This window comes from Homo sapiens, chromosome 6 (genome assembly GCF_000001405.40).
Source record: "Homo sapiens chromosome 6, GRCh38.p14 Primary Assembly".
Classification (NCBI taxonomy): Eukaryota; Metazoa; Chordata; class Mammalia; order Primates; family Hominidae; genus Homo; species Homo sapiens.
Window position 1 is genome coordinate 163,374,033 of NC_000006.12, and position 14,797 is coordinate 163,388,829.

Consider the following 14,797-nt stretch of genomic DNA (forward strand, 5'->3'; position numbering starts at 1 on the left):
TGGGTGCGTTACTAGAAAGAACACTGCTGAGATGCCAGGAGCTCTAAAGACCTGGGTGCGAAGAGCCCCGAGGCTCCTGGCTCTAAGTCTTTCTGGTAGGTGGTCACATGATGATGTCAGCTGGGGAGTCAACCGAGTCCTGGCTGGCCCCTGCACACCAACAGCACAGTTCTGGGCTGGAAGGGGGCCTGGTGGAATTGAACAGCAGTGAGTTTGATTTCCACTTCCTCAAGTTCATTCCTTTGAGTCTTGAGAGCTGTTTTGGCCTTCAAGAATCCCTTATGATACAAACCTCCCAAATCCCTTATCAGGCAACGTTTTAGCCCTCAGAAAACTCTTTAATATGGATTAACAAGAATGAACCTAGAACAGAAAAGAAAAGGCAGTTTGCTTTACAAAAGTACAAATACCATTAGTATCTCTACAAATATCTTTATTCATCTATTTATTTAGGTAAGACTCTTTCTCTGAGCTTCTAAAGCATTTTACTTTATGAGAAGCAGATCGTTTTTCCCCGTCCACAGGGCTCCAGGGTTGAGCAGAAGGCACTGGAAGAGAGAATAGTCATGGAGCCGTGTGCCTGTGTTCCTCCTTCCCAGCAGGTGTCACAGGTTCAGAAACGTCTTCCTTGCTGTCCACGTAATAGTCACAAAGTCCTTCACTCTTTCCAGCCTAGTTCCTCAACTCTATAACTAGGAGTTGAAAGCGGTGACCTGCACAGCTCCTTCAGCTCTAAATTTCTAAGACTGTAAGAGGCGAGCCAGTGGCTGAGAACTGGCTCTATGGTAAAAACTGGGGGGCGGGCCCCAAAGGTCCACCCAGAATGTCACTCTGGTTAGCAAAGGCAAGGCTGACGCAGCAGGAAAATTAGACTCAGGGCTGCTCCCTGTGCATCTCTAGGTGAAAGAGCTGCCACTGCTCAGTAAATATGTGCCCATAGCACTGGGGTGATGAAGAGGAAGGATGGCCCTACATTGAAAATTACGGCATTGCGGGAGGCTGAGGTAGCAGAATCGCTTGAACCCGGAAGGTGGAGGTTGCAGTGAGCCCAGATTGTGCCACAGCACTCCAAACTGGTGACAGAGTGAGACTTTGTCTCAAAAAAGAAAAGAAAAGAAAATTACGGCATTAAAGAAAGAAACCCAGAGCGCCTTGTGTGGGAGTGGGTGGAGTCCCGGGAGGAACAAGGAGGAGGACAATGAGGCCCCAGGTGGCTTGAGAAGACAACCACTTTGCATCGGAGTTGTCCCTTGCACTCACAACCATTCTGTCCCCAGGAGAGTTTTGTAAAAAGCGTTCTTCTCTTTTCATCCATGTGTTGCTGTGGTTATTCTTCAAGTAAGCAACGCCTGATCACATCAGGGCGGTTTTCAAGGGCAGCACACACAGGCCGAGTGCATGGTTTCATGTCCCCTGTGTGTGCATCAGCGCATCTAGCATTGCTCCTTTAATTGGATCTGCTGGCAAGTTTGTCCTACACACCCCAACCTCGGAACAGCCCTGGATGGATGAGCCCGACTGGCTCTTAGTGGAAGGAAGCTGGATCCACACGTCCCCGTGAGCTGGCCCTGGAGCTGGCACCCAGGGGGATGTGTGCACTGCCAGTTGCAGAGCTGCCTCCGGGTTCTGGGGGCTCCAACTGAACTGATGCCAGAGAGAGAGATTCAGGTCAAACGCATAATGATGGACTTTTGATCTTTTTTTCTTTTTTCTTTTTTCTTTTTTTTTTTTTTGAGACGGAGTTTCACTCTGTCACCCAGGCTGGAGTGCAGTGGCACAATCTCAACTCACTGCAACCTCTGCCTCCTGGGTTTAAGCGATTCTCCTGCCTCAACCTCCCGAGTAGCTGGGACTACAGGTGTGCACCACCACGCCTAGCTAATTTTTGTATTTTTAGTAGAGACAGGGTTTCACCATGTTGACTAGGCTGGTCTTGAACTCCTGACCTCAGGTGATCCACCTGCCTCAGCATCTCAAAGTGCTGGGATTACAGGCATGAGCCACCACGCCTGGCCACTTTTGATCATTTTTGAGCATTAACAACTTGGATTTGTTATATATGAAATATTCATAAATTGGCTTAATTTCACATTTTTATTGATTGATGCAGAGAAAGATGTATCTCAGCAATACCAGTTATTTTTCCCATTAAAAAGATATTTTTCTGATCATCATCTTTGCTGAGCTACCAGACTGCATCTCATTCCACAGACTGTTGCCTCAGCCGCTCCTGAGAACAAAGCCCACAGACCCCCTCCACAGCACAGCCTGCCAGCTCAGGCCCCTCCCAGTGGGGGCAACTCAGCTTTAGTGCCCCTCATGGAACCAGAGCCTTAGTGGGGACCTCTGGGTCCTGGGGACAGTCCCAGGCAGGTCCCGTCCAGCTGCCACACCTGGGATCTGATGCCTGCGGGCTTCTCCGGGCAGCGTGCTGTGTACATCATACTGGAAGTGTTTTGACTACATACTACCTGCGACGCCCTGTTCTAGGAACAAGGAGGAGGAGAAAGAGGGATTGTCTCTTTCATCCTCCCAGTGGCTCAGTGAGGACCACACCATTATTACCTCATTTTCAGCTGAAGATGTGGAGGCACCAAATAAGAGGCCTGCAGGAGCAGCCACAGTAGAGCAAGTTTTAAACTTAGGCAGTCTTGCTCTCAAGCGCAGGTTCCGGGCCACCATGGCAACGGCTCCCCAGATGTGGTCTGGGGAGCCTAGGCATGGCCCTTTCAGAGGGTCTTCAAGGTCAAAACTCCTGCTAAGTCACACTAAAATGTCACTTGCCATCTTCATTCAATACACTCGGGGGTAGCCTGGCGTCTCCCCAGCTGCTGGAAGAATGGTCACATCGTCACTCCAACAAATAAGAGAATGTGTGCTTGTGTGTTCTTGTATCTTTAAAATGTCTCTGTCTTCATTTCGAATGAGGTGAATATTGATAGATATAGGCTACCACCTTTGGGTCCTCAATAATTTTTAAGGGTGTAAAGAGGTCTCTCGACAGAGAGGTTTGAGAGCCGAGGCTCTGTGCTACTCACCTCCAGACCTGCTCCTTCTCTGGCCCGTGTCGCCCCTCCCAGCCTTCCTGCAGCCTGAAGCCCAGTTCCCAATCCCAGGCCTTCGCTGAAGCCCTGTGCCCTTGGGCCACCTCCTGCCCACCTAACTCTTGAGAACGCTGTCCTAGACCCCAGTTGGGGTGACATCTCCAGCTTCCAAATATGTCCAAAGTATCCATGTCTATGCCAGGCTGATCGGTCCTGAGCCAATCACACTCTCTCTCTTAGGAATCTGCCACTTGAATGGGGAGAGAGCCTGGACATCCTTGGCGTGGCAGCATGGTAACGGCAGCATCACAGAAAGCAGAAGAATCTAGCCTACCTCATATCCAGGTCTGGCTTCTGTGTTGGTTCCTGAAGTGGATTGTTCAGTTCTGCTGTGAATTCTCTGAGCTACCCCATTAGTTTCATATATCCTTTTATCACTTAAGGTTGCTCAGGGGAAAAAAGGGGGAGGGAAGCTTAACTAATAGGAAAAAGTTAGTATACCTTCCGATTCTCTCTCCTTATGATAATCTATGAATTTACTGTTGGACCCTGTCACCTGCCAAATCCCTCATCTCCAGCCTGGAAGCCACCATGCGTCTCTGTCACTGGTAGTACCCACATGGCCACAAGTCCCACACTAGCCTTGCGGCACATCAGGCCTGCCCGCCCTCGTGGTGGTCAGCCTCCTCCTCCTCCTTGCCCATCCCACATGTCCTGAAAGGAAACATTGGGCCACCTGCATGGGTGTTAGGATGAGACCGGGAGGTCTTCGGTATGACTGATCTACGTGGCCCTTAGAATGACGTATTCATTTGGCCCAACCTCCCACTGAGAAAGCTGAGCACCTCCTTCCCTGGAGCAGCGCAGATGATTGGCACAAAATCCTCCCCTAGAAATAAGCTGGCCCTTATGCAGCAAGAGAAAGTTTTGTTTTTTTGTTGTTGTTGTTATTGTTTTTGAGATGGATTTTCGCTCTTGTCGCCCAGGCTGGAGTGCAGTGGCGCCATCTTGGCTCACTGCAAGCTCCACCTCCCGGGTTCAAGCAATTCTCCTGCCTCAGCCTCCGGAGTAGCTGGGAATACAGGTGCCTCCACCGCACCTGGCTAACTTTTTGTATTTTTAGAACAAACAGGGTTTCACCATGTTGGCCAGGCTGGTCTCGAACTGCTGACCTCAGGTGATCCACCATGAGTATTCCCTTCCTGCTCTTTACCGTGGAGGGTGGGGGCTGTTGAATGGTGACTCCCAAAAGATTCCATTTCCTCATCTCAGGAGCCTGTGAATGTGGCCTTATTTGGAAAAAGTGCCTTTGCAGACGTAATGAAATTAAGGGTGCTGGAATCATGATGGGTTACCTAGGTGGGCTTTAAATCCAATGACCAGTGTCCTTATCAGAGGCACACAAAGGAGAGACAGAAGAGGAGAGGCCCATGTGAAGAAGGAGGCAGCCTGGAGTGGGGTGGCCGCAAGGCAGGGAACGCATGCAGCCCCAGAAGTGAGAAGAGGCAGGAACGGAATCTCTGTTAGAGCCTCTGAGGGAAGCTCAGCCCTGCCAACACCTTGATTTCAGACTTCTGCCTTCTAGAACTGTGAGAAACCAGATTTCTGTTGTCTAGGCCTAACACAGTGGCTCACACGGGTAATCCCAACATTTTAGGAGGCCGAGGTGAGGACTGCTTGAGCTCAGCATTTCCAGACCAGCCTGGGTGACACAGTGAAACCCCATCTCTACAAAAAAGATATATTTTTTTAATTAGCTGGGCATTGTGGCAGGTGCCTGTGGTCCCAGCTACTTGAGAGGCTGAGGCTGGGAGGATGACTTCAGCCTGGGAAGTTGAGGCTACAGTGAGCCGAGATCATACCGCTGCACTCCAGTCTGGGTGACAGGTGAGATTCTGTATCAAAATAAATAAATAAATAAATTTCTGTTGCTTTAAACCACCAAGTTTGTAGTGCTAGTTACGGCAGCTCAAGGAAATAACGCACCCTCCAAGATTGGGGGAGGCTTGTGACTCCAGGCAGGCCTGCCTGCTGGTCGACCCTCTGCTTCTATGCGGTGCCCCGACACTGCCATGCAGTGCTCTGGGCGGCCCTGGCCATTCCACTGCAGCACTCACTCACCAACACAGGATGGTCCCATCCCCTTCCTTCCTCACAGCTGCTAAGAGGACAAACCCTGCCACGTGGCCACCTTCTCCTGATGAACATAAAACTCCTCTCCATTTTACTGCTTTCTGCAATGCTCTGGAGTTGCCCAGTGATGCCCACAGATTCTTTAGTTACAATGACCATCTAAACTTTGCTTTCAGTATTATTATTATTATTATTATTATTATTATTATTATTATTATTATTATTTCGGTATAACTATCATGACCCATGTGAGTTTCAGCAAAGAACAAAGGGGAATTTATTCTTGAGATAAACAGGAGCTGAGGGCCGGAAGCTCCGCCAGGTCTTCCAAGGCTGGAGAGCCAACAGTCAGGAGCCCCCCAGGCCCAGTCCCTGGGCTCCCCTCAGAGCGCTGTTCCCTCTCTGTGGCCCAGCTTCCCTAACCTCTGTCCAACAGGTAACGATGGCCACCCCACCACACCCCGATTTCCCCTCAGCTCAAGTAAGCAGGAGGGAATCAGCACCTGGAAATTCCATTTCCAAATCGGTGGAGACATTCCCACTGGGAGAGGACCGAGATGAGGCAAAATGGGCAGAGACGTGTGGTATAAACATGGCTCCTGGGGCCCATTAGTGGGGAAGCAGGGTGGCTCTCAGAAAGGGGATCTGTGGAAGTGTTAGACATAACAAAGTTGTGCAGAAGGACAGGATGGTGATGGCGATGTTTCTAGAAGCTGCAACCCTTGAATATGGGGCCTCATCAAGGACCTCCTTGCCTTGAACCTCTGCACACAGAGGCCAACCTGGAAGCGTCCGTCTCCGACCACACAGTGTTGCTCCTCACCTTCCAGTCCCTTTAAGTTGTTCCCTGCTAGGCACATGCATAAGAAATTGTTGAAGAAACTACTTTTGGCTTCATTAACTTCCTCCAACCCTGCATCCTCCCTGCACCCCGAGATCAGGCTGAGCATCTGTTAGTCGAGAGTCCCCACCAAAGCATGTGTGCTAACCAGCCCTGCCCCCTGTGCCCCCACCAGTGCCCTGCTCTTTGTCTCGTTAGACACAGGTACAAACAAGGAAAATACCAACGTGCTAAACCACCATGCTCCTCCCCATCCCAGGGGCATGAGTTAGTTTTTCAGTCTTGGACTGAAGGGACAGACTCAATGTTAAAATCTCTGGAACGAGTGGAAGTTATACAGTTTTCCAGATGTGTATGACAAGCTAAGCAAAACTGAGCTAGAAAAACTGAAGTCACGGATTCCTACAAAGCTGCCAGGAGAAATGGAAAGGCAAAATACATGATTGGGCTGGGTGCGGTGTGGCTCACGCCTATGATCCCAATACTTTGGGAGGCCAAGGCGGGTGGATCTCTTGAGGTCAGGAGTTTGAGACCAGCCTGGCCAACATGGTGAAACCCCCATCTCTACTAAAAAAAAATACAGCCAGGTGTGGTGGCTGATGCCTGTAATCCCAGCACTTTGGGAGGCCAAGACGGGCAGATCACCTGAGGTCAGGAGTTTGAGACCAGCCTGACCAACATGGTGAAACCCTGTCTCTACTAAAAATACAAAAGTAGCCAGGCATGGTGGTGCATGCCTATAATCCCAGCTACTCGGGAGGCTGAGGCAGGAGAATCACTTGAACCCAGGAGGCGGAGGTTGCAGTGAACCCAGGCACCATTGTACTCCAGCCTGGGCAACAAGAGCGAAATTCCATCTCAAAACAACAAACAAACAAACAAAACCCAAAAATTAGCAGGGGGTGGTGGCGGGCGCCTATAATCCCAGCTATGCAGGAGGCTAAGGCAGGAGAATCACTTGAACTTGGGAGGCAGAGGTTGCAGTGAGCTGAGATAGCACTGCTGCACTCCAGCCTGGGTAACAGAACAAGACTGTCTAAAAAAAAAAAAAAATACATAAATGAAGATTGATTTGTTAATATACATGTAATGTCTTTGTGTAAAGTGATTTTTACTGCCATATTATAATTAAAATAAATAAATGCTAAGAAATATTTTTATTAAAAAGAATGAGGGTTCTCATTCTAAGCTGATCTCTAGGTACACATGCCTGGAGTCTCCTGTTCATACCCCCTCGATATGAGCACAGAGGGGCTCAGGGCCCAGGGCTCCGCCTTAGCTGACCAGAGGTCACTGACATGGATGTTCTTTGATTCCTGGGAACTCTAAAGAAAAAAACAATCCTGGCTTTGTGCATGAGCATAAGTGTGCAGTTAAACACGCAGCACAAAAATAAAAGCCCAAGTTCCCAATGAAGTGAGAGAAGCAAAAATAGTCAACAGGGAAATGGAAAGCACTGTGCCTGTGGCAACTCAGGTGGGACTCCCGCATTTCCCTCCACGCCTTGGGCACCACGCTCCGCTGCTCCTGCCTAATGGATTTGGAGAGGGCCTCCCAGCCAAAGGGCAGAGCACCCTGTTAGGTGCGAAAGTGAATAATGATGAACCCCAGGCTTAGTCCTGGTTGGATAAGGATAAATAAAATTAAAATTCAGAAATTTGCTTTAAATGGGTTGTTAATTGCTGTTGAGCTTTAAATATTTGAGTTTATTAATTTCTCCCTCACCCCCTGAATTATATTTCAGCAGCATTCCCCTGCTATTAGGCTATTAAATCAGACGTATCAAAAAGGAAGCATTTATTTATATCTTCAGAGACATGTACATCTAATTAAGATAGTGTTCCTGTGCATATTTTATATGAGGCAAATGCTGCCTCTGATTTCAGTTTAATCAGCTCTGAAGGGCCTTAGTAAGTGTTTGGAAGATGTGACTGGGGGTGGAGGAGGAGGACAGCCTATATCTTCTGAACATTAATTTCTTGAGGGCCCGCACCATAAAGATGTAGCTGTTCCTAGACACTGTAAAGCCTCCTCTTAAAGAATTCACAATGGAAACCTCCAGGAAACAAAAGATTTAGAAATTGGCTGTACTACCAGAATGTTTGTGTTCATAAAAATAAACTAACTAGCCATTAGAGACCACTGACTTCTAGATGAATTTATTACCTCATGTCATCCTCAAAACAAGCCAACGGGAGGGTGGTATTTTTGTTGTTGTTGTTGAGATGGAGTTTTGCTCTTGTTGCCCAGGCTGGAGTGCAATGGCGTGATCTCGGCTCACTGCAACCTCCGCCTCCTGGGTTCAAGTGGTTCTTCTACTCAGCCTCCTGAGGAGCTGGGATTACAGGCACGTACCACCACGCCCGGCTAATTTTGTATTTTTAGTAGAGGTGGGGTTTCTCTATGTTGGTCAGGCTGTCTCAAACTCCTGACCTCAGGTGATCCACCTGCCTCAGCCTCTCAAAGCGTTGGGATTACAGGCGTGAGCCACTGTGCCTGGCCAAGGGGGATATTTTTATCCCCATTTTGTGGATGAGCAAAACAGACTTACAGAGATGAAGTCCTTTGCCTAAGATGCAGGGCCAGGACTCAAACTGAAGCCTGCCTGATGGGGGCACCCGCTTTTTCCATTTTGTCCCTATTCATTGCCAAGAAAAGTCCATCCATTCTAGAACATCCTCAACCTCTTCCTAGATGGTGCTCCCTTCCCCCTCAAGGTGATGAAAATTGGTTCTTTGGGAGCAAAAAAGTCACATTCTTTTTATGTATAAAGCACAGGTATAGGTAACAGATGTACACAAAGAGATATCTGATATACTTATAGTATTAAAGCTTCAAGAGAGGAGGTGATTAGAAAAAGACATCGGGGGCTGGGTGCAGTGACTCATGCCAGCAATCCCAGCACTTTGGGAGGCTGAGGTGGGAGGATCACTTGAGCCCAGGAGTTTGAGACCAGCCTGGCAACATAGTGAGACTTCATGTCTACAAAACAATCCAAAAAAAAAAAAAAATTAACTGGGCTTGGTGGTGAGCGCCTATGTTCCCAGCTTTTTGGGAGGCTGAGGCAGGAGGATCTCTTGAGCCTAGGAGGTCGAGGTTGCAGTGAGCCATGATCATGCCACTGCAGTCCAGCCTGGGCCATAGAGTGAGACCCTGTCTCAAAATGAAGACAAAAATAAAAACATGTCTGAAAAGGCACTTTGGGAAGCTGCCCAGGAGAAAGGCTAGGAAACACTGTTCTAGAGCATCTGCAGTGGCATGCTGCCCCTGCATTCACTCACTCATCCTCAGGCACAGCAGCAGGCATCACCACCCTGCATTCCCATTCCTGCTATTATTTTATTTTTATGGCTCAGACATATGGGATGTGATATGGTTTGGCTGTGTCCCCACCCAAATCTCATCTTGAATTTTAGCTCCCATAATTCCCTCCTGTTGTGGGAGGGACCTGTTGGGAGACAAATGAATCATGGGGGAGGTTTCCCCCATACTGTTCTCATGGTAGTGAATGAGTCTTACGAGATCTGATGGTTTTATCCGGGGTTTCCCCTTTCTCTTGGTTCTCATTCTCTCTCTTGTCTGCCACCATGTAAGATGTGCCTTTCACCTTCCACCATTATTGTGAGGTCTCCCCAGCCACGTGGAACTGTGAGTCCATTAAACTTCTTTTTCTTTATAAATTCCCCAGTCTTGGGTATGTCTTTATTAGCAGTGTGAAAATGGACTAATACAGGCTGTGAACTAATTGTTAGCACCCAATGATAGTAGAACCGAGTGCCAGTGCTGGTCTGCAAATTTTATTGGACTGTGGTAAGTTTCTTATCTGATGGACCTTTGTCAAAAGGCAGTAGATTCCCTCTTCTAAAGGGTGATCAAATTCCCCATGTGATATCATCTCAAATCGTGGAAACTATCATTTGATACTTCCATTTGCTTATGTTTTAGGGCTTCTTTAGCCGGAGGTTCTTGACCCTTTTTTCTGTAATGTGGTACATGAAGAAGGTGGAGAAGGTATGAATTTGGGTTACATCAGCAGAACTCAGGGCTGAATCATGGGTCCACCCCTTTCAGTGCATGACTCCTTGGGCAAGGTATTGAATTTCAAAGAGTCTGTTTTTTTCAGTAGTAAATCCAAATGCCTGCTTCATGTCCAGCATTCTACACCTATTTGACCCTAGGCCCACACCGTTCAGTTATGGTAACCACAAGTCACGTGTGGCTATTTACGTGAACAGTCATTAAAATTAAATGAAATTTAAAATGTAGTTCCTCAGGCATCCTAAACACATTTCAGGTACTCAGTAGCCACTGGTGGGTACCAGTGGCACAGTGCAGAAAACGAATTTTCTCTCAACACAGAACATTCTGCTGGTAGCACTGATTTAAAGACTGGAAGCCCCAAGAAGACATGGGCCATGTCGGCAAGCGGGGGGGTTATTTTCCGTTGAACAGACTTTGAATGAGAACCAACTATGTGTAAGTCCTGATTTAAGCACAAGAGAGGATTTGTAATCAAAACAAAATTCTTACCCTTAAGGATGTGTTGCTATTAATATTTCAGGTCTTTGTGGCTTTTCTAATGAATGAGGAAGTCGAGTATATTGCTCAAGGATATTAGCACGGAGTCAGAGCCACTTGTCTTTGAGTCTGATCTGAATGATATGGGTAAATTTACCTACTCACTCTGAGTCTTAGTTTCCTCATCTGTAAAATGGGTACACTAGCAACTTCACAGGACTGTTGCAAAAACTTAATGAGGAAATTGATGTAAAGGGCATAACACAATGCCTGGCACAGTAGGTGTTCAAAAAGCTAGGCTCACCTTATTAAGATAAGAATCAGTTCACCAATTGCTAGTTTGTTCATATACTGGGAGATGTCCCCTGCTGTCTGGAATTTATTGATTTGCTATTAAGTCTCCATCTCAGGATGTTCCTAGAGGTGATCTGGTAAAATGCTACTAGTCATGCTCAAGGTGCCATAAGAATTCATTCCGTAATTCACATTTCAGAATTAACTGCTCACATAATAATTTTAACATTCTTGCTGGTGTTGATTGCTATAATTACAGAGTCTTGGAGCTTGAAGAAATAGGGAAAAAATAGTTGAATTCACCTCTTATAAAGAAAGTGAAACTCAGGGAGAGGGAGTGATTTGCCTAAAGTCACACAGCTATTTAGCGGCACAAGGACTAGAACCCGGGTCTCCAATCACCCTACACAAAAGCTTAGCATTTCAACAAGTTTTCTTCACTCTCTAGCTGCTTGGCAGCTGCTCTGCCTCCCAAAGGAAAGTTACAATAAACTCTTGGTCACCTATAAGGCAAATAAAGCTTCCTCATCTCTGGATGCCAAAGTAGGTGTTTATTTAAAATAACACAGAAGAGGGCCAGGTACGGCAGCTCCATCTGTAATCCCAGCACTTTGGGAGGCAGAGGTGGGCAGATCGCTTGAGCTCAGGAGTTAGAGACCAGCCTAGGTAACATGGTGAAACCCCATCTCTACAAAAAATCAAAAAAATTCACCAGGCATAGTGGTGTGCCCCTGTGGTCCCAGCTACTTGGGAGGCTGAGGTAGGAGGATCACTTGAACCTAGGAGGCAGAGGCCGTAGTGAGCTGTGACTGTGCCACTGCACTCCAGCCTGGGCAGCTGAGCAAGACTCTGTCTCGGCCGGGCGCGGTGGCTCACCCCTGTAATCCCAGCACTTTGGGAGGCCGAGGCGGTGGATCATCTGAGGTCCGGAGGTCGAGACCAGCTTGACCAACATGGATAAATCCTGTCTCTACTAAAAATACAAAATTAGCCGGGCGTGGTGGCGCATGCCTGTTATCCCAGATACTCCGGAGGCTGAGGCAGGAGAATGGCTTGAACCCGGGAGGCGGAGGTTGCTGTGAGCCGAGATCGCGCCACTGCACTCCAGCCCAGGTGACAAAAGCGAAACTCCATCTCAAAAAAAAAAAAAAAAAAAATACTCTGAGACGCTGTCTCAAAAAAACAAAACATCAAAATACCATAGAAGGCAATTCCTGGGAAAGCACTTGGGATTACTGAGTGAATCCCTGCTACCTGCGGCAGCCCCATGGCCCACCAGCCATTCACCTCCCCCGTTTTGGTCTGTTACCTCTTTTCTCCCTAAAGCCACATCCTGGAAAGGTATTGTTTTCTCCTTTCTGTTATTCCATCTGGAGAGTGTTTGGTGTCATCTAAAAGAAGATGAGGCAAAGGGTCTCCTTTTTTTTTCTGGTCATTGGATAGAAAAGAATCTTGTGCTTCACCCATTTTTAGTGAAATTTTTGACATGCTCAAATTTTGATAGAAAGGGAACTGATGTTAAGAGAAATCACACTCGGGTACAAGGGAGGGAATAAAATCCTCAACTGGGTTTGAACTTTCCTACCAGAAAATAAAAGGTTTTCCAAAAGTGATAAATTTTACTCAACGGAAAATGAGGTTGTGAATAAAGAAAGCTTTTCTTTCCCCTTAAAAAACGACTTTTTCTTGCTTTCTTCTCCTTCAGAGTCCAAAACTTTCTTTATATTCCCATTAGAAAGCACAGAGAATGAAAATTACAGCCGAGTCTGGATTAGTCATAGGCTGCCTGGATCTTCTTCATCCCCTGACATCTCCCAAGTCTCCATCCAATTACAGAGCTCAGGCCTGGGAGGCATAAGGTTCCCTCTCCTCACCCTCGTCCTTCTCTGGCAGAGGAAGGGAGGGAGGAGAAAAGTGAACAGCGGGAAGGACATTTCCCCCTGAACTGTGGCACTTCAAAGCCGAATAATAGAGAAAGTCCCTCAATCACCAATCGATTGAAATTACTAATGTGTGCAGACTTCAGATAGCCATATACATATTCAATTTCTCTGTCAGAAATTTTTTTTTAAGAATTGAACAATCTAGTGCGTGAGTAGCAGGCAGCAATACAGTTCTGCCTTTGTAGGAGTCAGACATGCAGTTATAGACCAACAGCTTTGTAGAAGTGAGTGGAGTCATACTTGGGTTTGAAATGTTACATTTTTTTTTAAGTGTACCGTTAATCTTTTTTCTTTTCTTTTTTTTAGATGGAGTCTCGCTCTGTTGCTCAGGCTGGAGTGCAGTGGCACGGTCTTGGCTTACTGCAACCTCTGTCTCCTGGGTTCAAGCGATTCTTTTGCCTCAGCCTCCAGAGTACCTGGGATTACAGGCATGTGCCACCACGCCTGGCTAATTTTTGTATTTTTCGTAGAGACAGTGTTTCACCACATTGGCTAGGCTGGTCTCGAATTCCTGACCTTGTGATCTGCCCGCCTCAGCCTTCCAAAGTGCTGGGATTACAGGCGAGAGCCACCACGCCCAGCCAAGTGTATGATTAATTTCTAAACTGTGATTGAATTTGTAACACAAGGCCCAGCCCTGCAATTGGACTCTGATTTAGACAATCATAAAGGGCTCATATTTCCTTTGGAATCTCATGGCATGTGGCATGTACAAACATGTCCCAACAGGAAGAGGAGGGAAGAGGAGGAAGTGTATGGATAGTTAGATAAAGTATGGAAACTGTCATAAACTTGCCTCCCATCCCTTCCCGCTCCACACACACACAGAGTGATGAACTTCTTTTTCCCATATGATGATAGCACTCATAACTGCTGGGGCCTTGCTCTGCGCTGAAGCACTCTGGATGTTCTGCAGAGCTATACAAAAATGGGAATTGATTTCTACTTGGATAAAGGTAACACGATTAAACCTGAAATTGGCTATGTGAGTATCATGACTTGTTTGGGATTAGGATAATTAAAGAGTAGAATTTCCTACCTGTTTGTGACGAGCTTTAGAGGACAGAATTCACTTGGGGAATCCCTGGGGACCTGTGGACGGATCTGGCACACCAGCAGTCAAGTTTTCCTCGGCTGTGTCTGAGGGGCCCAGCTCCCTTCCGGCCCCAGCAGGCCCAGCTGCCTGCAAGACCATGAAGGGAAGGCCCTGGAAGGTCTTGGGCCGCGTGGCCGGTGGCACTGGCTCCCTCTGGACACTCGTGGCTCTCCCTGTGGCTCCACACCACTCATTTCGGCTCCATTAACTCAGCTCCCAGTTTTCCAAGAGTTGCATTAATTTATGAGATGGTTTGGACTCACTCACTGGCCATGACCTTGGCCCTCACCCCAGGATATTATTTTCAGCATGTATCCTCTGGATCTCCCATTGCAACCATGGGCAGGAGGCGCTCATCCTTTCACGGCCCCACACCCAGCCCAGAGAGACAAAGGCCAGAGCAAATGGATTCCAGTCCCTGGACCCCAATTTCCAGTGAGGTCAGGGACCCAGGTGGGAAGTGAGCAGCGGGATGAAGTTGCAAGGGTGTCTCTGCTGCGCATCCCACTTTTACCATGATGTCCTGCATGCTTTTCTTCTGGAAGCACCAAAGGTCACTACCCACTCCTCCTGCAGAGAAAGCTGGCACTCACTCAGGTTTTAATCCTTTGGAGGGACAAACATACACATGTAGCAATTTGAGAAGATGCACAAAGCTATGTGTGAGAAGTGCCTGTGAATGCAGTCAGATCACACAGTCACACAAAACACAAAAAGGCTTCACAAAGGAACAGGGCCAGAGGAACTGATGTCCTACAGCAGTGGGCTTCAACCAGTCTTGAAGGGTACAATGGACCTGGATGGACAGTAAGATAAATGGAGACGCATTGCATGTAGGTGGTACCCACATGAACCAGCGCAGAGCAGCTGGATCTAGCTGACACACTGAAGTAACCAAGTACAGAATGGAAGTCCCCCATGATAGGGC

The 14,797-nt window shown here is 47.5% G+C and overlaps 2 annotated features.

Annotated features, from left to right (window-relative positions):
* Window positions 9,663-10,862: an enhancer, noted in NCBI's record as "BRD4-independent group 4 enhancer chr6:163804727-163805926 (GRCh37/hg19 assembly coordinates)". NCBI's record gives its function as "activates an origin of replication core promoter dependent on BRD2, P300/CBP, MED14 and CDK7 cofactors, and independent of BRD4, by STARR-seq in HCT116 cells {active_cell/tissue: HCT116}" and the evidence as "EXISTENCE:reporter gene assay evidence [ECO:0000049][PMID:35650434]".
* Window positions 12,862-14,061: an enhancer, noted in NCBI's record as "MED14-independent group 3 enhancer chr6:163807926-163809125 (GRCh37/hg19 assembly coordinates)". NCBI's record gives its function as "activates an origin of replication core promoter dependent on BRD2, BRD4, P300/CBP and CDK7 cofactors, and independent of MED14, by STARR-seq in HCT116 cells {active_cell/tissue: HCT116}" and the evidence as "EXISTENCE:reporter gene assay evidence [ECO:0000049][PMID:35650434]".